Consider the following 24477-nt stretch of genomic DNA (forward strand, 5'->3'; position numbering starts at 1 on the left):
AATGGTGTGAACCTGGAAGGCAGAGCTTGCAGTGAGCCGAGATGGCACCACTGCACTCCAGCCTGGGCGACAGAGTGAGACTCTGTCTCAAAAAAAAAAAAAGAGTTGAAGCAACTTGCCCAAGGTCACACCATGACCAAGTTGCTTAGGGGAGCACTTGGATTTCCACCTCATGGCCGGCAAGCCAAAGCTGCCTGGTCTGGCCCGGAGGAAACGGGGACTGGTGTGTTGTTCTGAATCTCATGCTGAGAATGAGGGGCTGTGCAGAGTCTGTTGGAGAATTTCTGGGACAGCATCAGTGAAGCTCCTTCTCAACTGAGGGCCTCTATCTGGGGTGAACTGGGTCAGGGGAAGGCACAGCTGTTCATTTGGGGGAAACTGGGAGCATACTAGTGGGTAGGACATCAGCCTCATGTCCCTGGGAAGCTGGTGTAGATGGCTGGGGCTTCCATTACAGCAGTCCTGGATCTATTGAAGGAAGCCCTAATTAAGATCCTCAGCATGATCCCGCCTGAGCACCTAAAGTGAGGCTCCTGATCCCAGGACCCGGCTCTATAAAACTCTTCAGTCCGCTCAAGGATGAGACGATGAAAGCCACTGGGGGTGGGGCAAGGGTCAGTTACCTTCTTAGGAATAAAGCAGCTGGTAGGGGTTAAGAGAACAGGCAAGCATTTCTGAGTTCACAGGGGAGTGTCCAGTTCCTTCTGCCTAGGGGAAGGCTCCCTAGAGCTGAGGCCCAGAGGGGAAGAGAAGGGGGCTGGCAGATGTGGGGGGCTTCAGGGAGCTCCCCAACAGGATGCTGAAGCTCTCTGGGATGAGATCTGGGGAGAGTAACTAGAGGAGCTCTAGGTGATCCTCTGGCCCTGAAGACCTGCCTCTGGCCTGGGTGGGACAGGGAGGAGGCAAACAGAGGTGCCCACCTCTTTTGGGGCTTCCACAGGCTGCCTGCTTGCCTCATCCTCTTTTCTTGAAGCTCTGGGTTGCTGTGATGGGATGGAGTGATGTGCCTTTTGGGGCCCTACTTCCTGCTGGGGCTTCACCTGCTGAGGCCTGGGCTGGGGTGCGGCCTGGCCCTGGCATAGTCTCCCAAGTGGGTCCATGCCAAGCTGGGGAGGCACACAGGCCACCTGGGGTGGCGTAAGTGTCTTTTCTCGCTCCTGTCTGTTGTGTGGGCTTTCTGTGCTCCCAGGCCAGGACAAGGGTGTGCTTCATCTCTTCACCCTAATTTCTTTCATTAAGGCTGGGGAGGCACGTGTTCAAGCTGCATGTGTGCAGAGTGCTACGAGGGCAGCCCTGGCCTGTTCTCCAGAGAGGATCTCCTTTTTCCCTTTCCTTAAAGCTCAGATCCTCAGAGGTGGCCCTGGAACATGAGAGGAGGGGGTACTGGCCCAAGGCGTAGAGGTTTCTGCAGGTCCTATGACTGGGCTAGATCTGCCCCTGGGCAGGTCCTGAGGCCTGGAGGAGGAAGGGGGTTCTGCTGACATTTGGGTGCTGCAGCCTGGTCCCAGGGAGCAGGACCGCCTGGCCTGTGCTCAGTGGGGGTGGCACTCAAAGGCATGGGCTTGGCCATCGGACATATCTGAATGTTTCTTGACCTGGCTTGGCTGCCCCTCGCCTCTGTGACCTTGGGCAGCTGCTTCCCTGCCCTGTGGAGCCCATTTCCTTGGGTGAGATGGGGTGGTCGAGCCGATTTAGGGACCAGCTATGGGCTGGGCCTAGTGTGATATTGACTGTAGGGTAACCAGAATGGGGGCGGTTGTCAATACTCTTCTGGGTCACTGTCTGGCCGTCCTGTGCCGCTTCTCTCTCTGTAAGGTGAGGGTGTGTTTGGGGAGGGGTTGGGAGAGGGGTTCTGCCTAGGCCTGGCCCTTCTTCCCTATGATCGTTGTGTGAGGTCCAGAACCCTGCATGGAGCTATGTAGAAACACAGGTTCTGCCTGGGTCCCTGGGCCTGAAGGGGCGGGGACGGAGGGAGAGCCTGGCTCCTCTCACCCTGGTGAGGGTGGAAGCGGAGCCGTCCTGACTGGGCCCTGACCACATGGCAGAGGCCCTGGGGAGACACCCTGGCGAGCTGGGCATGCTCCTTCCCCCCAGCCACACAGCCCTCAGCCTCTTGCTGCCAGCTCTGTTCCCCCTGGAGAGACTTGATTCCATCCTGGCAGGGCAGGGGCTGTGAGGATGGAAAGGTAGAGCCTGCCAGCTTCTTAGTGGAGTTCAGAGGACTGGGGCACGGGGGCAGTTGTCCTCTGGGAGACGGGGTGGGGGTGTCTATCTCCCTCCCTCCCACCAGAATGAGTGACTCACGGGAAGGAGGTGCCTGCTGGGCCACCTACAGGGGGCAGCAGGAGCCAGAGGCCCCAGCCAGCCATTTAGCCCAGGAAGCAGACAAGGCACTCAGTGTCTGAGACTGGTGGACTGGGGTAGCGCCTCGTGGCCTTGGACTGGGTCTGCACCAGCTGTTGCCAGCAGCTGGCCAAAGCAGCTGCCCGTCCCCCTGGGGTGGGAGCTGAGGAGAGGACCCCCTTGCTGGGCCTGCCCCTGTCAGCCAATCTCCTAGGCCCTCGATCTTTGCAGGTCCATGTACCCCAAATGCTGGGCTCTCCTACCTTCCAGCATCCTTACCAGCAGCAGCCCCCTTTCTGAGGCTATAGGCAGGTGGGCCTGAGTGCAGGGAGCAGGTCCCCCTGGTATCCTGGAGCCACTGAGGCCTCCTGGCCCACAGCTGTCCTTTGGGCCAACCTAGAGTTAGATGCAAGTCACGGGGAGTGCACCCTTCCTGGGGCCACCCCAGCAGGCCTGGTCCCACTGAAACACAAAGTCAGCTCGAGCTCCAGCCCGGGGACCAACGACTGCATTAGGGCAAGGGTAGTGGCAGAGACTGGAATGATGGACACAGGCAGTGCCAGGCCTGGGCCAGAAAGCTGGCTACTTCGCTACCATGGCCATCCTGAGACTCCAGAGTCCAGGAGAGGGTGGCGCCAGGTGGGCAGTGGGAGCCTCGTGAACCAGTTGGCTACCCTCTTGCTGGGGAGGTCACTTGGCTTTCATCCAGAGATAGGAAGACGTTCAGGGTTCTTTGGAGGAAGAAGGAGGGGCAGGACAGGATGTCTCGGTGATAGGAGGTCCCTGGGGGACCAGCCATATTACTTTGAAATCTTACCCATGGGGGTGGAGGGTTCCCTGGGCTGGGGAGGAAGAACGGGGGCTACCTTTCCTTGTCTTCCCTCCCCTCCCCCATGCCTCCCATCCCAGACATGCCAAGGACAGGCTGCCCATCTAGGTCCAGATCTCTGGCTCCCGGCTTCTGGGATCTCAGCTCAAAACTGCTGCTGCACATTGGGCGGAAGCCCTTCCTGCTTCTCCCCTCACTCCGGTCTTGGCAGCCAGCATAGCTTTTCTCAGGGACCCAGTGGGGGAGGTTCCTCCCACCCGCCCTCCCTCTTGCTGCTTCTTGAAAGCTGATCCACTTCTGCCCCTCCTGCTCCTGTCTGCTCTGTTGTAAGAGTCAGGCAGGTTTTCACAACGTGATGGGGCTTGTCACTTGCTAGGGGATTGGGGTTGCCATGACATTTTCTCCAGCTTGGGCTTTGACATCTAGTACTACTGTAAGGATTTTGGCAGGGATGTGGTGGCCTCCATAGCACCCACCACCCACCTGAATGGCACGCACACATACAAGGTGGTGCATCTGGAGGGGCTGTGCACGCTGGGCACAGTGATGGTGAATAACTGTGGCTACCAGGTCATGGCCCAGTCCATCATCTTCCCGGCATCTTGGAGTGGAACCAGAAGCAGAGCTTCATCTATGGTTCCACTGACTTTGGCAAGAGGGTGGCGTCACAGCCACAGTACCTGGAGCTGCTGGGTCACTCAAGTTAGACCTCAAGATTCTGAGGCACTGTGTATTCAATTATTGAGATGAGGAGGTAGAGCTCTGCTTCTTGGTGGGTGTCACTGGCAAAACAGGCACCAGTATACCCTCCTCCTGCTGTGCATCTTCCCCTGACCACAGCTTCCTGCCCGTGCCCAGTACGCAGATGCTGTGCCAGCTTCCCCCATGCCCACCGGCAGGGGCTCTGCTGCCTGCACCAGGAGCAAGTGAGTGGCTTGGTAGAGCACTGGTGAGGAGCAGCCCTGGGAGGCTATAGCTAGAGCAGGCTACATCCTGCCAGAGAGCATGGCCACACTGGGTTGTCCTGGGGCTGGATCCTTGAAGAGAGAAGCTTTGGAAAGCGAAGAAGCCACACTCACTAGAGCCCCCTTCCCATCTCCCACCCACCCTGTGGTCAGTCTCCCAAATGCAGAGATCTACGTTGGTTGCAAACTAGAGAGCAGCCAAACCAGTGACCCAGCTGAGGCAGTACTGTTCCCTTAAGGAGCACGTGGAAATCTACTGGGTGGCTGTGAATATCACCATGTCAAGGGTGGGCAGGTGGGACACTGGGTGTTGGTGCCACTGGTGTTTCATGCTTAGGAGTTGGCCATGTCAAATGTCCCAAGCCAGAAATAACTCTTTCTCAAATGCCAGTGGCATTCCTGTCACTGTTGAGAGCCCCAGCCTGAATGGGGAGCCCCTCTCTGCCCCCTTCATACTATAGCTGTCTTCTTCCTGGCTGGGTAGATGTTGGGTTTTGCTGTGACCTGATGCTGTTGGGTGTGTGCACGCCCATGCAAGTGCACACTGGGCAGGATATGTCCCCATGCCTGCAGGTTGTGCAGCCCCACATTCCTCAGCCACAGCAGGCCAGGACGCTGCCAGGCCAGCAAAGCTTCCGAATCCCCCTCTACCATCTCCTGCTCCACCCTGTCTGGTGTACTCCAAGTGCCTCCTCTTCATGAAGCTGCTGCCCTGCAGCCTGATGCAGCAGAAAGCCAGCAGGCTGGAGCACCCTACCTCCCTGGAAAATAGCACTCTTCCTTCCTTGGAGTCTTAGCTTGAAGACCCTCTGGGACACAAGGCAGGAATTGAGAAGGGCAGAAGTGCTAGCAGCCGGGCCAAGGGGAAGGGGCTGGCTGAGAGCATTGCTGCAGAGGACAGCACAGGTGGGGTTGCTCTGGATGCCAGGGGAGAGCACCCAGCCTGTCCTGGCAGCTGGTCACTGTCAGTCATCGCTCATGACCCAGCCTCTGAGAGAGGCAGGGAGATGCCTCCACAGGGAGCTGTGGGGTGAGATTCACGCAGCCACTCCTCCAATGGTGGAGGTGGGCCACCTCCCAATGTGCCCTGTCCCCACAGTAGACCCTCGACACCAGGAAGTGATCCTCAACGTGTGCAAGGGAGTCAGCTCCATCAGCAGCCTGGCCTTCCACAGAAGGCCCTCCAACCTGGACATCTTATCAGGCAACTGGTGGGGGCTGGTTGGCACTGGAGCCCGGTGGGGTGAGACAGAGCCTCTTTGGGGGAGCATCTTTGGCCCTCGGTGCTGGTGTGCCTGTCCAGCCATGTGAGTGTGGCGCCTGCCAGCCCCAGACAGCATCTGTCTTACCACCCCCTGCCTCCCTTCTGCCTCATTCAAGCTTCTCTGCTCCTCTTCCAGGCAGGGGTTCACTTCCCTGAGTCCTGCCAAGATGACGTTTTGGAACCAGGAACAGCTGCTGAAAGATGTGGCTGCCTTTTTGCTCTCCTGCCAAACCTCTGGCTTGGTGAGGGAGGGGTCATGGGGTGCGTGGGGGCTTGCAAGTTTTATCACCCTAGTTGAAAACTTTTTTTCATCTCCTAGTGTAAGATAAAAACTTGGAAAGATGGGTCTCTTGAGATGTTGTTAATGGGGACCAAGGGTGGCCTAGGGAGCACGTAGGGAGCAGAACTCCTGCATGCTCTTCTGGAGAGGTGTGGTTTTTGGAACTTTTCTAGAGTGGGGGGAAAAAATAAGATCTCCATGGTCAGTGAAAGGGCAGTTCTTGGAGTCAGCTAGTGGTTCTGATTCCCCTTTTCCCACAGCAGTGGACTCGGGTGGGTGGGCTGAGAGGGCTTCCTGCTCTAGGAAGCAGAACAGGGCCCTCTCCCCTGCAAAGCGCCAGGGAGGCCCCCTCTAGTCCACAGGCGGGTGCTCCTGACTTTCCCAGCTTCGGCTTCGGGGACTCATATCTTACTCTCTCTTTTTCTCTCTCTCCACCTCCCTCCTCTCTCTCCTCTCTGGCTCTGCCCTGTGGCTGAAGGGCTCGCAGGATAAACTCAAGGGCAACCCTGGGGTGCACCCTGCCACCTTCTCGGCCCACACTGTACCGGCTCATTGTCCCTATGGCCAGTTCGAGTAAGGGGATCTCCAGGTGACCCGAGAAAGCCGCGTGCGAGAGCACAAGCACTCTCAAGGTCTGGCTCAAGGGGCACCGCAAGAACCCCTTCCCCACCAAAGGCGAGGAGAGAATGCTGGCCACCATCACCAAGATGACCCTCACGCCAGTCCCCACCAGCTTCACCAACGCCCACCGGCACCTCAAGTAGAGCACGGTGAAGTGGGGCGCGCACAGCAAGGACCAGGAGCACGGAGGCCTCTTCGACAGCGACACTGAGGGCGACCCCGAGAAGGCAGAGATTGACCTGGAGAGCATGCATCTCCATAAGACCAACACCCACGATGGCGACCAGAACAACGAGGGCGACGAAGACAGGACTGAGGAACATGCGCCCCTGCCGCCCTCACCCGGAACCAGGGCTCCCGGCTGGCAGCGCCAACGTGCTCAACCCCAAGGCTCGCTCTTGGGTCTGGCCAAGGAGGTCCCAGAGCCTGGCTGCAGGCGCCGGTTAGCCCCAGCGCTGCAGCGGGCGGCCTGCAGGGTGAGCCACGCGGGGAAGTCCAAGATCTGGTGGCTGCCTAGGGCAGCCTCGCGCCCGCAGGGCCCGCCCACCGCTTTGCTTACGCCGCTGCCCGTGGGCCACCCCGGCGCGCAGGGTCCCCAGCCCGCGCCTCCGCCACAGCCGGCTTTCCCGCGCAGCCACGGACTGCACTGCCGCCACGCCGGCAAGGGCTCCAGCTGGACGGAGGGGGCCTTCCTCGCTCCGGGATCCCTGTCCCACTGTGTGGCTTCCCGAGGCCTCCCCTTCCTGCGCCACCACCACCGCAGCCGCCCGTCGCGGTGGTCAGGGGCGCTCCGCGGAGACCGAGACCAGGCCCCGGCCCGCAGCTCCGCGCGTTCCCAGGCGCAGCTCCTGATGCCAAGTTCACTTGGACCCCGGCTGAGATTAGAGAGGCCTGGCGAGGTGTGGGGGTGCGCAGGGAGAATGGGCTGTGGTCGCCATGGTGCGTGTTGGTCTTGTGGAGATGGATGCTCCTCCGGGTCAATCTCTGCCTTCTCGGGGTCGCCCTCAGTGTCGCTGCTGAAAAGGCCTCCGTCCTCCTGGTCCTTGCTGTGCGCTCCCCACGTCACCGCGTTCTCCTTGAGGGGCCGGCGGGCGTTGGCGAAGGTGGTGGGGACTGTCGTGAGGATCATCATGGGCAGGGAAGGGCGCGCGGCAGTGGCCTCGAGCCCTGGGTCTTCTCCTTCCTGAATTTGCAAAGCCAGGCGAAGGCCCTCGTGCTCTCCCAGAGAGCTGCGCTCCACCCGCGGGCCTGCCTGCGCGTGGGGAGAGCGGGGAGGCGGGGACAGGAGACCTGAGCCCCTGGGCGCCCCTACCACGTGTCCCCCGTCCCAACACTGGACCTCTTCAGATTCCTTGCCGAGAGGGGCCTCGTCCCAAGGCTGGATGCGCCGCGCAGCGGTGAAAGCCGCCCTCGCAGCCCGCAGGCGACCAGTGGGTGCTGTTGGCTTTCGCCCCGGGGAGGGAACGGGCTTGGGGGCACTGGCGGCGGCGGAGCGCGGCGGGGAAGCTGTGGGGGTCGTGCGATGGTTATGGAGAGTGCTCCATCCGCCAGGCCTGGGCTCTGGGCGAGCTGAGGAGACCGGAGTTTTTCCCCAGGAGGGAGCCGCGCAGGCCGGCGACCTCTTCCCAAGGCTCTACTGCTGGACCGCGCCCGCGGCGCCGCTCCCGCCCCCCTTCAGCGCACTCTGCGCCTCTCGCTGGGTATGGCCAGCTCGCAGTGCGCGTTTATGCTGCGGTAAACGCATTGAAGGAACGCACAGCTTATCTAATAGGGTTTTGAAATAATTTTCGGTATGCCAGCTGGGGTGTGGTTTGCCCAATTCTGATCCTGTTTCCAGAGAACACAGCTGCTTAGACAATCTGTTATCTTCGCGTCCTGTCTTCCTTTTGACGCCAGAACATCCTAGGGATCAGGGGCCTCTCCCATGCCCTGGAACCATCCTCTCACGGTGCTGCTCTTCACTGGTGCCAATAACAGAGCTCCCGCAGGCAGGCCTGGATCAGTGGGGACTGGGGCCCTGAAGTGAGATGGAGCAAGACAGAGCGGCCCTTGGGAGAGGGGCATGGGGCGGCCCTGTGCTTTAGACTCGGCACCCTATGGCTTGAGGAGGTGACACTGTGTCGACGTGCGTTTGAAGGGAGGACGGCTGAAGGTACATGCAGTCTCCCGGACGTCACAAACTCCGCGGACGCGGGTCACACCCGCGCGCACGCGCAGCAGGGGTCTTAGCCACACAGGCGCACGGCGGGGCACGGCGGGGCACGGGCCCTGCTGCAAACGGGCGCGCTCCCTTCTGGGCAAGCAGGTGCGAGGCGCGCGCCATGGAACAGCCCTTAGCTGAGTTTCGGTTTGCGCGCAAACGGCCGGCCTGGCCGCCCAACGCAGCATTTCCAGCCAGGGCGCACAAACCTCGGGAGAGAAGGTGGAAGCCGCAGGGGCTCTAAAGGCAGCCCCAGGTTGGCTAAAGCGGTTCCTGGTACGGACACCAAGGCCCCCGTGCTCGGGCCCTACCCAGCCTGGTTCAGGTGAGAGGAGGCAAGCCTCGGCCCGGTACCGGCGTCGGAACCACAGTCGGGCCTGGCCCTGCTGCCGGGGCGGGGCTGCTGGACTTCCCTCCCGCTCCGGGCTGGACCTGACATCTGTCTCTCGCATCCGCACTGATCCGAGCTTTAACATTTTCTTTCCAGCCCGCGAACCACGCAGCTCCGGACTCCAGGCAGGAAGCGAGGGTCAGGGTCCTGGAAGAAAGCACTCTGTCCTTGAATTATTCACCCCTAATTGAGTTATCGTGACACCCTGTGGCTTTGGGAAACCTCTCCACAACCAAGTGGAGCCACAGCCCTCTGCTAATGAGGGTAGAAGGTCGAATTAGATACACATCAAAAGTGGCAGTAATTAAGCCTTCATTTGATTTACACCTGGGGCACATGCGGCTCATAGCCCAGATAGCCTGTGACTTAGAAATGGGTTTGAATAGAAAATCTACAAAAGTATGTTAGCTGTAACTGCCGGTGGTGGCAGAAGCTTGTTCAAGTTCAATAGTGAATGTTCAAGACAAAAACAACAAAAAGGATTTAGTGTAACCTTTTCACACGTAATTTATTTTGGTAATCTCTTATTTTGCAGATTTAATCTGCATCCTTTTGTGTTTTCATTTTGTTTTAACCAACGAGTAAAATGGTAAGGTGACTTGCAGTGAGACTGAAATGTCTATGTGGAGATACAGGATAAAACATATCCAGGGATAAGTGTTTTGCAACAAGCTGTGCCAAGGGTTTATTCCTCATAAGTGTAATAAGAACTAAAAGGTTTTTGTTGTTGGTGGTGGTTTTTTTTGTTTTTTGTTTTTTTTTTGAGACAGGGTCTCACTCTGTCACCCAGGCTGGAGTGCAACGAACGGCGTGATCTTGGCTCACTGCAACCTCCGCCTCCCGGGTCCAAGCGATTCTCCTGCCTCAGCCTCCTGAGTAGCTGGGATTACAGGCATGTGCCACCATGCCCGGCTAATTTTTTTGTACTTTTTTAGTAGAAACAGGGTTTCACCATGTTGGCCAGCCTGGTGGTGAACTCCTGACCTCAAATGATCCACCCACCTTGGCCTCCCAAAGTGCTGGGATTACAGGCGTGAGTCACTGCGCCCAGCCAAGATTCCTTTTAAAATTAAAATGTACTGGAAGAGAAGTGTACCTTGCTCACCTTAAAATTATTTCCCTTAAGTTCATCTATTTTTGCACAACATTTGATTTGAGGGAATTTTTAAAAATTACTGAACCTATTGTTACTCAATTTTGATTTGATATTCTCAGCAATATACAGGATTCCAGCTGACTTGCAGAAAGATGAAGAGTGCAGCAGCACAGTTCAAACATTAGAACTTTCTTTTTTCTTTCTTTCTTTCTTTTTTTTTTTTTTTGAGACAGAGTCTCACTCTGTTGTCCAGGCTGGAGTGCTGTGGTGCTATCTCAGCTCACTGCAACCTCCCCTCCCGGGTTCAAGCAATTCTCCTTCCTCAGCCTCCCAAGTAGCTGGGACCACTGGTGTGCAACACCACATCCAGCTGGCCTAGAACTTTCTGAGTAAAACAATTGCTTAAGATTTTAGAATCAATTTCCCTTATTCTTTTTCTCTCTGCAGTTAAAAAACAATGTCTAACCCATGCAATGAGCTTTTGACTATATGCCTCATTTCAAAAGGAATATGAGATCATTGAGTTGGACCCAGAGAAACTGAACTCAGAGAAAACTTCCATTATTGAGAACCCAAAAGCTAATGGCCAGACAAAAGGATGAGAAGAAATGCTGGACCTCCAGTTTGTTATTAATTGCTCTTTTTTGTTTTGTTTTGTTTCGTTTTTTATTGAGATGGAGTCTGTCTCTTTCGCCCAGGCTGCAGTGCAGTGGTGCAATGTCGGCTCACTGCAACCTCTGCTGTCCAGGTTCAAACGATTCTTGTGCCTCAGGCTCCCAAGTAGCTAGGACTACAGGCATGCGACACCACACCCAGCTAATTTTTTTGTATTTTTAGTAGAGACGGAGTTTCGCCGTGTTGGTCAGGCTGATCTCAAACTCCTTACCTCAAGTGATCCACCTACCTTGGCCTCCCGAAGTGCTGGGATTACAGGCGTGAGTCACCATGCATGGCCAATTGCTCTGTTTTTCACAAGGGACTCTGCCTTAAGCTCATTTTCATTGACTTATCATTTCTGGGTTTGCTCTGGTGTGAAAATTCTCATTAAATTTTTTTCTTCAGATTATCGCTACTTCAGAAAAAATAAAAACTACATAATTTATAATTCATGTCACAAAATTTTGATGGCACACTGTGGCCTGTCAGAGATTTCTTTAACATTCCTTTTTGTTTGTTTGGTTTTGGCTTTTGGTTTTTTATTAAAACAGCTTTACTGAAACATGATTTATACACTATAGAATTTATCTGTTTTAACATACAGTTCAAAGATTATTAGTAAATTTACTGAGTCATGCAACCATCACTACAGTCCAACTTTAGAACATTTTCATCACTCCAAGAAGATGCCTCATGCCCATTAGCAGTCACTACACATTTCCACCCCAGCCCTATGCAAACATTGATCTACTTTCTGTCTCTATACATTTGTCTGTTCCAGATGTTTCATGTAAATGGAATTATACAGTATGGTAAACATCTTTTTCATCTACTTATTTTTATATTCAACTAGGTTTAACATGTAACCATAACCAAATATTTAAATTTTCTCTCCAGGAGCTTGAAAATATTTATTTTTCTTGATACTTACTTCGCCTTCTGATTTCTGTTTTTTATACTGAAACAGTCTTTTAAATGATGGCATTCATTGATTAATTCTTTATTTTTCTCTTCTAGCAGACCTTCTTTTTCACTCTCGAAACAGCAGCCTTGGATATTAATTACTATTTGTTCATTATCCCCTTTCTTATGAGCACCATCTAGTTGCTGTTCAAGCTACAGATTTTCATGTTGTAGTTGAGATATCCACTCGTCTACATAGTCTTGCTTTCCTTTATCTGATGCTGTGTTTGGCTTAGGTCCTTTGGCACACTTTTTTTTGAGGCAAAAGATAACAATAAGTTACTGAACAACTTTCTAAAGCTGGAATTAAATTCAATACCCTAAAAAGTAAACTCCATGAGACAAGAAGTTCTCTCAGAGAATTTTGTATTGTTCAGATGGCCAAATTAAGTCATCAAGGCCATCCTTAAATGTGTTCGCTTTTTGACCTTTTTCTTTTGACGCTTTCTTCGCAGGCCTGTCATACTCGTCTTTCTCTTTCCTGGGAAATTGCTGATGGTAAGTTTTCGCACCTTGATTTTGTTGCATTGATCCATCATCATCGTCAGCAGATGTACTATTATATAGGTTTTCTGATACTTGTATATATATATATATATTTTTTTTTACTTTTGTGCTTCTTCCTCCTTCAACCTGTGGTTATTTATTTTCACTTTTCTCAGGCCTTTCTTGTTCTTCCTTTGAAGTCACTTCTAAGTCTTGTTCTGCTCTGGATGTTTATACGTCCTTTCTTTTTACTGCATTCTTCACAACAGACTCTTCCATTTCGGTGGTAGGCTTCAAGGAAAGATGTTTTACAGGAGACACTTCTACTTTTACCATATTTTTTTTCTTTTTTATATGAAGGTTCAAGTAAAGACTCTGAAGCAGTCTCAGGGATATACTGCTTGGTAGTAAAAGTCAAGTCTTCATCATCTAGTTTACGGCATGAATCAACACACAGTTGTTTGAAAATGCTGAATGCAGATTTGTCAGAACTCCCTGAATCTTCTGCACTTGCTCCTCCTTCTCTCAAACTTGCATTCTTTGATGCTTCTGGATTGTCATTTTGAAGACCATTTTCAAGTATCTTTTTTTTTATGTTGCAAAATTTGTTGTTGAATGCTAGTCAAAACACCACAAATAGCATAATTGTTTGCTGTCTGTCCATACATATCTTGAATAAAGACAGTAATATTTTGTTGAAGAATGCCAACTATACCTAACGAGCCATAATGTACAGCAGGCGTGAAGGCTGTTCCTCTCAACCTATCAACAGCATGTGCATTTGCTTGTTTCTTCACTAAAAATTCCAGCATTTGCTGTCTTTTGCAAACTGCAGCAAGTAAAAGTGGTGTGTTTCCATCATTGTTCAGCACTTCAATATCCGTATCATGGGAAAATAGTTTTTCTACCAGGAATGTACTCTCATTATAGGACAGCATAGTGGAGAGCAGTGTTGCTGTAGACATCCACGTTCCAGCAGAACGATGCCACAAATCTCTTCCTGGCAATGTACAGCCTCCTCAAAGGCATCCCATTTTGTTTATCACCAATGTCAATGTGGCATTTTCAGTTCACCAGGAGAGTCCCCACTTCCACATGGCCATTGGCACAGGCCAAACGTACAGCAGCCCTGTCCATCCACAGCTGAAGGGATAGAGAAACTGCCATACAGATACACACAGAGTATGCTTCAGCCATAAAGCTTTGGGAAATCCTGTCATTCGCAGCCACATGGAGAAACCCAGAGGACATTAGGTCCAAGAAAATGAGCCTGGTGGAGCAAGTCCCACACTGCGTGACCTCAGGCATGTGGACTCCAAAAAGCTTTATCTCCTGCCCATCCACAGATGAAGGGATCAAGAAACTCTGATATATATACACAAAGGAATGTTCTTTGGCCATCAAGATAATTAAAGGATGTCATTTGGAGGAACATAGATGGCCCGCCGAGGCTGCGGCTGCCTCATCCTGCACTGTGGATGGAAGCCGCTGATCTGACAGGAAGTGGAGCTCAGGTGGTAATGCTCGCTCTTGCTGTGCTGCCAGGTTCTTAACAGGCCAGGGATGATACTGGTCCAGGGGTGGGGGAGCCCTGCTCCAGATGACAGCCAGAGTAGTCTTAAATGTAAGTTGGATTGTTTGTTCCCTGCTTAGACCTTTAGCCATTTCCCATTACCAGAATCTTCGGCGTGGCCTGCGTGGCCCTACTTGATCTGGCTTCTGTCCTCCCACCCTCCCTCGTTAGCCCCCATCATCTCATGCTACTCCCCCTCGCCCAGGCCACTGCCCAGATATATTCTTCTCCTTGGGCAAGAAGTTCTGTGCATGCAGGTCAAATCTGAAAGGGACATTTCTTTCTTTAATGAGTGTCAGGGATGGGGGATGTGGCTGATGATATAAGGGGCCCTCCAATCAGACTTTCTAATCTAACTGAAAAGATAATTACAATGTTGATGCTAAAAAAGAAGGTTCTGGCAAAATAGAACTTCTGAAGCATCATAAATCAGATGACTAATATTTGTGATCCCTTTTTAAATTTTCATGTGAAGAAGAATAGGGGATGTAACTGAAGAAATGAACTAAAAGTTCTTCTATGTATTGATAACCTAAGTGTGGGATGCTGTTTGGCTCTGGAAACACGTGGCCTCCTGATACTTAATAAACAATCTAGCATCACACATGACCTGTATTAAAAGAGACACTTCAGTGCTGAATAGTTTGGTGCTCAAAGGGCAGGAGAGCCAGTTAGTGCTTGGGGAGGCAGAGGGGGAACCTTACCTGATGGCCAGGGACGTTGGGACTGACTCAGTCCATGAACTGTGCTTACCTGGAAGAAAGGCAAGGAGTTGAGGAAGAGAGAGGAGATGGAGGCAATTCTAGGCCTGAGATGGGTCTGAGAATATCTGTGGGTAATAAGACCAATTAAGCTAGAGTAGAAGGGTCATTTGTGGAGCAAAAGGTTGTGGATTGTGTTGTACATGGAATTTCTTAGGCCACTGTGGCTCTTAGCAGATAGTGAAATCAATATAGAGGATCTTGTCCCCCATTAAAAATGTTTTGTTTTGTTTTGTTTTTTTGAGACAGTCTTGCTCTGTTGCACATGCTGGAGTACAGTGGAGTACAGATTCTTTTAAAAAATACAAGTTAAAGATTGTGATAGAAATATGAAAACTGGCCGGGCGTGGTGGCTCATGCCTGTAATCCCAGCTCTTTGGGAGCCCGAGGCAGGGGGCTCACCTGAGGTCAGGAGTTCAAGACCAGCCTGGCCAACATGGTAAAACCCCCGACTCTACTAAAAATACAAAAGTTAGCCAGGTGTCGTGATGGGTGCCTGTAATCCCAGCTACTTGGGAGGCTGAGGCAGGAGAATCACTTGAACCCGGGAGGCGGAAGTTGCAGTGAGCCGAGATCGCACCATTGCACTCCAGCCTGGGCGACAGAGCCAGACTGTCTCAAAAATAAAATTAAAAAAAAAATAAAATAAAATAAATAGAAAAAAAGGAAAAAGAAATTATTAAAACTGTCTTAGTTTTGATTCTTGGTTTAATCCAGTTCAAACTGGTCTAAGTCAAACTAAAGGAATTTATAATAAGGACACAAGAGTTTTGTTTTTGCTTTTGTCTTTTTCACAGACTCCAGGAGTAGACATACAGGCCAGGTCTCACATGTAAAGCATCAGAACACCTTTAGAAAGGCAAGCAGCACCTCTCTGTTTCTTGCCTCTGCATCTCTCTGTGCTTCTGTTTCATTTTCTTTCAGGACCTTCTGCTTTGCACAAAGGTGGTATGCAATCAGAAGACGTCTGAGGAGACAAGTATGCATCTCCCACCACAACATTATATGATGCTTGGAGTAAAAACAGTCCTCCCTGTTCCTACCCACGAATGTATTATTCAATAAAGATTGCTGCCAGGCATGGTGGCTCATACCTGTAGTCCCGCACTTTGGGAGGCTGAGGCTGGGCAGATCGCTTGAGACCAGGGTTTGAGACTAGCCTGGACAACATGGTGAGCCACCATCTCTGCAGAAATAAAATAAAATAAAATTAGCCAGGTGTAGTGGCCTGTGCCTATAGCCTCAGCTACTTGGGAGGCTGAGGCAGGAGAATAGCTTGAGCCCTGGAAGTCCAGGCAACAGTAAGCCATGATGGTGGCACTGCACTCCAAACTGGGTGACAGAGTAAGACCCTGTCTTAAAAAAAAAAAAAAAAGATTGCATTATTCAATCTTTTTTCCCATATATAATTTATATAGTTACATAATTACATTCTAGTTTTTGCACATGCCGAGAACTACATATAATTTAGTAGTATGCTGTTTTCACTTATATATCACATATATTTTCCTATATAGGTATATAATATCTATATTTGTCCTTTTCCATTTGACTGCTGTGTTTCTTAAATTGATATACTGTGATCTAAGCCAGTTACAGATTGGTATGGATTTAAATTACTTCCTATTTTCTGTTTTATTAACAATAAACACTGTTATGATATAGTTTTCATTTTTGTTTGTTTGGTTTTTGATCATTTCCTGTGGAAGTATTCTCAAAGCTGAAATTACTGAATTAGTGGGAACAAACATGGCTGTCTTTTTAAATGTTTTGTCAGCTTACTCTCCAAAAGGATTACACCAAGAGGTATTGCCACTAGCAGTAGTTAAGAGTTTGTCTCACCATGATTACAAATTTTTCAAAATTGGTAGCTTATTCACACTGATTGGAACATATGAATTGTTCAATATTTTATAATATGTATATGGGAAAACCCTTATATAGATTAATCAAGAACATATAAGTATGTAATAAATTCCATACTGGATTACATCGATGATCCTTCTGGCTCTGCATCTTGAAACCTAGTTAAGCTCTTTTATGTTAAATTCACCCGGATAGAGTTTTGGAAAATACTTGCTTTTTATTTCTGAAAGTTTTTGCAAAGGATTAGGTTTGGTTTTATGAAAAGTTTCGTCTCTGAAATTATCTGCCTAGACTTTGGACAAGGTGTTCTATTAATTGTCAAATACAATTGAATTGAATCACATTTTTCTTTCTAGGTTACTTTATAAGGTGTTCCTACAGGTCATAAAAAAATTGCCCACAAGGAGCCAAATTACTTTATTCATGGATCTAATATTGCTTTATAGTATTGCTATATAGGTTTAGATAATTATGTTGTTTCACCTTCAGTAGTCATATTTTAGTTATAGGTAAAGTCATTCCTAGTTAAAATAGTATGTAAAGCAAACACATTTGAAATCACCAGTATTCGACATGTTTTGCTATTACTTACAAGTAACAATTTACATTATTTTAATGTTGTAAATAGTTGTGGAATTTAGTCATTTTCTGTATATTGAATTAATTACTGGCATTAAATAAGTATCTTCTCTCTTTAGTAGCTTAACTCATTTCCTGAATGTACCCATTTGATATCATACTTTTGATTGGTAAAGTCACATGTAAATATCTTTTTTACTTTTTATAAAATAATGTCATAAAAATATGGAAGATTTTCTGGCAGACATTATTAGCTAACTGATGACATTTTCAGTAAGTGCCAAAAAGTAATATATGAATATATAAAACATCAAATATTTAGCATAAACTTTATAAATAGCAGAAATGATTAGTAGAAGAAATTACTCACATATTGTCTGCTAAAATAAATATTAAAATTTGACTACATGAAAAAATATAGTTTCTTGAGCTGATCAAATAAATTGATCATAATTCTTCCTCGTTTTGTTTTCTGTGTCTGTGGAAGTCATAGCGAATCCCGAAAATGTATAGCTTGAATTCTGTTGGGTTTTTTTTTTCTTTATTACTTAGTTTACATACATTTTTGTCCTCCTTTGAACTTACTTTCTCCAGACTTGGGTATGTCATGGGCATAAATCAAACCACTCAGATCCACTTCTGGAGGTTGATGTTGGTTTTAAAGCAGGTCCTTGTGGCATCCGTTCCCTTTCCATTGCTAGTCAGTACAGAGCTTACCTTTTATCAACCAGATAAAAGGTTCTGATGCAAATAATTTGACAACCCATTAGCTAGAAAACTATTTCCTGATAACTTAAAATCGACCGAAGCCTTCCCCCATATGTAACACTGTTCTGCCATTCCCTTCATTTTTGCAGTCCTCCTTTGTATAGCCTTGGAAAACAGATCAGCGAGGTAGCAGTGAAAGACATCATGATACCAAATAGAAACAAGGACTTGGAAGACACATTGGACCTCTTAATTTCCAGGCCACTTGATAGTAGATACAGTTCCTTACAAAAGAACATGGCTTCATCTTGGGAAAAGAGGGTGCTGGAGGTGAGGGAAGATGAATTAGCCACCAAGACAGTTCACCTTGCAATTCAATCATTTAGGTCTAACTGGAGAATGATTGCTGCCATGTTCCAGAACAAGAATGAAAGCCTCGTTTCACAATGAAAAGGTGAATTTATATCTTCTGTGTTAGATTCTAGGAAAAAAGGAAGTAAAAGAGATACAGAACAGTCCTTTCATCCCTCCCCATCTGCACTTTATTCTTCCTAACTACAAATCCCATGCTGAAATTCTACTGTACTTGATAAGCATACAATCATATTCAGGGCTCTGCCAGGACAATATTCTTTTTTTTTTTTTTTTCCTTGAGGTGGAGTTTCACTCTGTCACCCAGGCTGGAGTACAGTGGCGTGTTCTTGGCTCACTGCAACCTCCGCCTCCTGGGTTGAAGTGAGTCTCCTGCCTCAGCCTCCTGAGTAGGTGGGACTACAGGTGTGTGCCACCATGCCTGGCTAATTTTTGTATTTTTAATAGAGACGGGGTTTCACCATGTTAGCCAGGCTGGTCTCGAATTCCTGACCTCAGGCAATCTGCCGGCCTCAGCCTCCCAAAGTGCTGAGATTACAGGCATGAGCCACTGTGCCTGGCCGACAATATTCTTAAGTATAAAGAACATATAATAGTTGGAAAAATCTATGAGCAGAAATATTTTAGGGGATATTTTGTTATATATTCAGTATTTCTATAAATGTTTTCAAAATATACAAAATTTTGAATGACATAATGCTTTCTGTATTTCCTCTTCTCCACTTGGGCAGTTCTGTGAACACAAAACATCCCCTCCTGCTCTGATGTTTCACTTTTTATATGGTTTTGATTGGTGTCCCCACCCAAATCTCATGTCAAATTGTAATCCCCAATGTTGGAGGTGGGGTCTGGTGCAGGTGATTGGATCATGGGGGTGGATCCTTCATGAATGGTTTAGCACCGCCTCTTTGGTGCTGTCTCCTGATAGTGTTCTCATGAGATCTTCCTCCTGCTCCCACCATGTAAGACACGCCAGCTTCCCCTCACTTTCCACCATGATTGTAAGTTGCCTGAGGCCTCCCTGGAAGAATCCACTATGCTTTCTGTAAAGCCTGCAGAACCATGAGCCAATTAAACCTCTTTTATTTGTAAATTACCCAGTTTCAGGTATTTCTTTATAGCAGTGTGAGAATGGATTAATAAAACTTTCCAGGAAGATCATTTCATTCCCCATTCTTTGTCCCTTTCCATCTGCCCTTTATTCTTTATTGATTCCCCTGGTCTCTGACCACCCACCTCAAATTTTTACCTTATTTATTTTATAATCAATTGTTCCATGCGTTATCATGCTAAATATAAACCCTTTTTATGATGATAGACATCATGACTAATAACTTCTGTAATAGTGATGAGGATATCTGAAAAACATATATTTAAAAAATAGATACACCATAGATATGACATCTATGACTGGTATAAGAAGAAGGTTCTAATTGGAAGCTGATACAGAAGGAGATCAGCTTGTCTCAGAGCACTTAATAACCTGAATCTCACCCAATACAAAGCACAAAGGCTGAAGACGTGATAGCCCTTTTAAAGTGAGCTACCAGGGATTAACCACTAAATTTTAGTACCATTGCATATGGTATTTGTATATTGTATCTCTGAGTTCTGTGAGCCAAAGAAGAAAAGGTTGATTTTTGGAGCAAGCATCTTTACCATGACTAGGCAAAATAAAAAAGAAATAGAAGTCAGAGTTGATAGATGTCCACTATCAAAAACAACTTACCTTCGGCTGGGCGCGGTGGCTCACGCTTGTAATCCTAGCACTTCGGGAGGCCAAGGTGGGCGGATCACAAGGTCAGGAGATCCAAGACCATCCTGGCCAACATCGTGAAACCCCGTCTCTATTAAAATACAAAAAATTAGCCGGGCGTGGTGGTGTGTGCCTGTAGTCCCAGCTACTTACTCGGGAGGCTGAGCCAGGGGAATCACTTGAACCTGGGCAGCAGAAGTTGCAGTGAACTGAGATCGTGCCACTGCACTCCAGCCTGGCGACAGAGCAAGACTGTGTCTCCAAAAAAAAAAAAAAAAAAAAAAAACAACACTTACATTCTAAATTAGAATTGAGTGGCTGAGTAGCTCTGGAATAAAAGAGATCTGGATTGCCCATGAATGTGAGGACACATGACATACACCTCTGGAGTTATGGAGACAGAAGAGGTCAAGACTGTAACTTCTGAGTGAATACTTCTCATGGGGAAAAGTAAGCTGGGAGAAAAGCTAATATTACATTGTTGGTAGCATAACCCACAAACACAATTTAAAAATTCCTTTGGGACATAAAATATGTTAATGTAGCATATGGAACCAAGATGTAATAACTGTAGTAGTTCCTTCTGGACCAAAATAAATTGCTAACCACATACATAATTTATTTTCAGAACCCTCAAGGTATTATGCCTCCAGCATGCACATTCTAAATTAGTTAAACAGAGGAATCAAGAAATGGTCAAAATAAGGGTGAGGGAAGCAAGAGTTTCTAAAGCTATCACAAGATGTTGTAGTTGTCATCTCTAGAAATTTAAACAGCAGGGTAAACTTTCTCAGAAAGATGTATCATAGGACTATCTCTAGTCAAAAATGGTTGCAGAATGGGCAGAAATCTCAGAAGCCTACCAAAAAGGTAATTTAAGCAAAGAAAGAAAAAAAGGAAGGGAGTGAAGGAATGAGAGAGGGAGAGATAAGAATTTCCTACCACCAAGTTAAAAAGAAAACAATAACAAAACTTTAGGAGACTGTAAAGTCATTGTGTCTCAGACCCAAGATTGGTTTCTATAAGAATAAATGTAGTCGCAGCCAGGCACGGTGGCTCACGCCTGTAATCCCAGCACTTTGGGAGGATGAGGCGGGTGGATAACCTGAGGTCAGGAGTTCGAGACCAGCCTGGCCAACATGGTGAAACCCCTTCTCTACTAAAAATACAAAAAATTAGCCAGGCGTGGGGAGCGCGCCTGTAATCCCAGCTATTTGGGAGGCTGAGGCAGGAGAATTGCTTGAACCCGGGAGGCAGAGGTTGCAGCGAGCTGAGATCACGCCACTGCACGCCAGCCTGGGTGACAGAGCAAGACTCCATCTCAAAAAATATATATATAGTCTTAGTTTTACACAGAGATGCATACACATATACACAAGATGTAGTGATTGAGACTCTTAAAGAGTAAAACAAAATGTATGTTAACTGGATATCTGAGAAAAATGATTATGATAAAAAGGGCCTAGTCACATTATCCAACGGGGAAAATAAACTTGAAAGAATGTGAATATAAATACAAGTAATACAAGTTTTCCAGAAAGAAATGTTAACAGAGAATGAATACCTTTTAAAAGTCATTCCAATGCTGGGAAAACTAGATATCCACATGCAGAAGAATGAAATTAGATCATTATCTCACATTATATGCAAAAATCAACTCAAAATAGATTAGAGATTTAAAAGACCTGAAACTGTAAAACTGCTAGAAGAAAATAGTGGGAAAGCTCTACGTCACTGGTCTGGAGAATGATTTTTTTGGATATGACAACAAAAGCACAGGCAACAAAAGCAAAAATAGACAAACAGGATTACATCGAACTATTAACAGAAAACTCTGCATAGCAAAGGAAACAGTCAGCAAAGTAAAGAGCCTATGGAATGGGAGAAAATATTTGCAAACTATACATCTGGTAAGGGGTTAATATCCAAAATACATAAGGAACATAAACAACTCAGTAGGAAGAAAACAACTCAAACAGAAAGTGAGCAAAGGACCTAAATAGACATTTCTCAAAAGATGACATACAAATGGCTAATAGGTATATGAAAGCATGCTCAATGTCACTAATCATCAGGGAAATGCAAATTAAAACCACAATGAGAAATTACAGACGGTATTAGAATGGAGATTATTTAAAAAAAAAGACAAAAGATAACAACTGTTGGCAAGGATATGGAGAAAAGGGAACCCTTATACAGTTAGTGGGAATGTAAATTAGTACAGCCATTATGGGAAACAGTATAAATTATTTGTTGTGTATATTTTCGAGAAGGTAACTGAATGGGTTAACTTAGTTAAATGTTGAAATACGTCTATTCAATAGATTAATTTGGTTTTAGAATATTAAAATTCTGGCTTGGTGTTATTCTATTAATCCCACTCTTATGGTGGGAATAAATATGTTATATGTTTCTATTCAATAATTTGGTTTTAGAATATTAATATTTTGGCTTGGTGTTATTCTATTAATCCCACTCTTATGTTGGGAATAAATATGTTATATGCTTAACAACAACAAAGAAACCTAACTTTGACCATGGATTTGATTTCAGGTGCACAGGGCTAAGGGCAGCCTGCAGGTTAGCTCTGTGACTGCATAGTTCTACATTCTTTCTCTGATCTGCTGCTGCTATTTGATCTCTGAATTTCTCTTTAGTTTTGGTGAAACTTTCTAAAAGACATTCACTGTGGGTCAGATGCAATTTATAAAAATTGTGTATTCAAGAAGGGAGCCCTGTTTATCTCATTTCTCAGCTGTTTAGGAGATGATTTTAGAGCACTAGAAAGGCACTGGTAGAGAGGCAGGCAGAGGGCAAACCTCCAAGGCCATTAAGGTTTTGTTGTAATTCATAGGAAGCCATTAAAGGGTTCCAAACAAAGGATTTAAACAACCTAAATTGAATGTTAAGAAGACATTTCTGGCTGCTCTATTTGAGGGTTCTTGGTAAGTGCTAAGAAATGAACAAATGTGGTATAATCATCTATCAGTGTATTTCTCACTGGCCCTGATTTATCCAAGATTAATTCAATTTCTGGGATTACCAAAGGCATCTCTGATGAAACTCAAGACCCACATTAAATATCCACATTATGGCCCACGATGAACACCTATGCAATGAGATTGTCATTATTCAAATTACAGTACAGCTATCCTAGAGGAAAAAGAGGCTTGCTACATGCTAGAATAGCATTAAGTGTGGAGAGAAATGTGAAGGTTTAAAGGAGAAAGTGCTTCTAAAGCTGATCCAGGAAGGATAAGGAGAATATGGGCCGGACGCGGTGGCTCACGCCTGTAATCCTAGCACTTTGGGAGGCCTAAGGCGGGCAGACTGCCTGAGCTCAGGAGTTTGAGAGCAGCCTGTGCAACACAGTGAAACCCAGTCAATACTAAAATACAAAAAATCAGCTGGGCGTGGTGGCATGCGCCTGTAGTCCCAGTTACTGGGGAGGCTGAGACAGGAGAATTGCTTGAACCCGGAGACCAAGGTTGCAGTGAGCTGAGATCTCGCCATTGCACTCCAGCCTGGGCGACAGAGCAAGACTCCATTTCTAAAAAAAAAAAAAAAAAAAAAAAAGAGAATATGAATTGATGAAGAGTGAACAGTAGGTATTCCAGATGAGGGGAATAGGGAATAATACTCACAAAACTGTAGAAGAGTCAACATGTTACATGAGAATATTGGCTTGATTAGTACTCAGTTCCATCATGGATTAGTAGTGGAAACTATTGGATGAGTAGTAGAATGAGGGTAATTTAGGGAAGCAGTACTTTTCTCTCGAAGACAACAAATTACAAAGATTTTTGAGCCGAAGTGAGCCTTTCAAGAGAATACTTACTTCACAGTTTCTAGTTACCCACACACAGTGTAGAGAGAAAAGAAAATGAGGAATATGGGCAGGCTTTATTCTTAGCAGCAAAAGGCAACCGTGCCACCTCCAGGTGTTTTGTTTGAAATACACCTGCCACCTTTCTACTAGATTACTTCATTCCTTGCTCACAAAACGTCTCATGCACTCTACTGCTTAAAGAGTAAAGTCCAAACTCCTCAGCCTTACACTCGAGATTCTCCGAAATTCTTCCCTGACACACCTCTCCAAAGAAGCTTACTTTAAGGAAACTCATACTCTGGCTAAATGGTCTTTAAATTCTCAAGAAGTCACTGTGTCTTCCATCTACCTTCCCTCACATCTACCTTCCCTCGCTGATGTGTTCTTTATTCTTGGAATCCCTTAGTTCTTGTTTACTCCTGTAAGTACTACCTAGGTTGTAAGGTCTAGTGCAAACCCTATATCCTCTACGAAGAGTTTTCATACCACCGTAGACCATATTGACTTCATTTCTTCATTGCTTTTTGTGAACTATGCTTGGACAAGTTGCTTCAACTCTTTTTTTTTTTTTTTTGAGACGCAGTCTCGCTCTGTCGCCCAGACTGGAGTGCAGTGGTATGATCTCGGCTCACTGCAAGCTCCGCCTCCCAGGTTCACGCCATTCTCCTGCCTCAGCCTCCCAAGTAGCTGGAACTACAGGCGCCCACCGCCACGTCCGGCTAATTTTTTTTTTTTTTTTTTTTTGTATTTTTAGTAGAGACAGGGTTTCACCATGTTAGCCAGGATGGTCTCGATCTCCTGACCTCGTGATCTGCCCGCCCTGGCCTCCCAAAGTGCTGGCATTACAGGCGTGAGCCACCGCGCCGGGCCCAGAAGGCTAATTCTTACTGTCTCTAACACAGGTCCGGTACATAACACTTATTTTGGCGGAAGTTACT

At 47.3% G+C, this 24477-nt stretch overlaps 1 protein-coding gene and 3 pseudogenes across 8 annotated transcripts in view, besides 2 other annotated features; 3 read left to right on the plus strand and 1 right to left on the minus strand.

Moving 5' to 3' along the window:
• Window positions 2338-3159: an enhancer, noted in NCBI's record as "H3K4me1 hESC enhancer chr13:25315583-25316404 (GRCh37/hg19 assembly coordinates)". NCBI's record gives its function as "activates a minimal SCP1, AML or CMV promoter by ChIP-STARR-seq in naive H9 embryonic stem cells {active_cell/tissue: H9 hESC(naive)}" and the evidence as "EXISTENCE:reporter gene assay evidence [ECO:0000049][PMID:30033119]".
• CLUHP9 (clustered mitochondria homolog pseudogene 9) lies at window positions 3563-4119 on the plus strand (annotated as a pseudogene).
• IRX1P1 (iroquois homeobox 1 pseudogene 1) lies at window positions 6159-7012 on the plus strand (annotated as a pseudogene).
• RNF17 (ring finger protein 17) overlaps window positions 8660-24477 on the plus strand; it is a 140815-nt gene continuing 124997 nt past the window's right edge. For 6 of the 8 annotated variants that reach the window (XM_011535156.3, XM_011535152.3, XM_011535158.3 and 3 more), the window contains exons 1-4: window positions 8660-8827; window positions 12065-12107; window positions 12456-13719; window positions 17732-18036. In XM_011535156.3, the coding sequence (XP_011533458.1) occupies window positions 18010-18036 (27 nt within the window). In that variant the 5' untranslated portion in view covers window positions 8660-8827; window positions 12065-12107; window positions 12456-13719; window positions 17732-18009. The remainder of the gene's footprint in view (window positions 8828-12064; window positions 12108-12455; window positions 13720-17731; window positions 18037-24477) is intronic. The other 2 variants (XM_011535155.3, XM_047430486.1) reach the window with 2 other exon arrangements.
• Window positions 8701-8750: an enhancer, noted in NCBI's record as "active region_7479". NCBI's record gives its function as "activates an Ori minimal core promoter by ATAC-STARR-seq in GM12878 lymphoblastoid cells {active_cell/tissue: GM12878}" and the evidence as "EXISTENCE:reporter gene assay evidence [ECO:0000049][PMID:35858748]".
• Window positions 12659-13226, minus strand: ANKRD20A10P (ankyrin repeat domain 20 family member A10, pseudogene; annotated as a pseudogene).

This window comes from Homo sapiens, chromosome 13 (assembly GCF_000001405.40).
Source record: "Homo sapiens chromosome 13, GRCh38.p14 Primary Assembly".
In the NCBI taxonomy this organism is placed as follows: domain Eukaryota; kingdom Metazoa; phylum Chordata; class Mammalia; order Primates; family Hominidae; genus Homo; species Homo sapiens.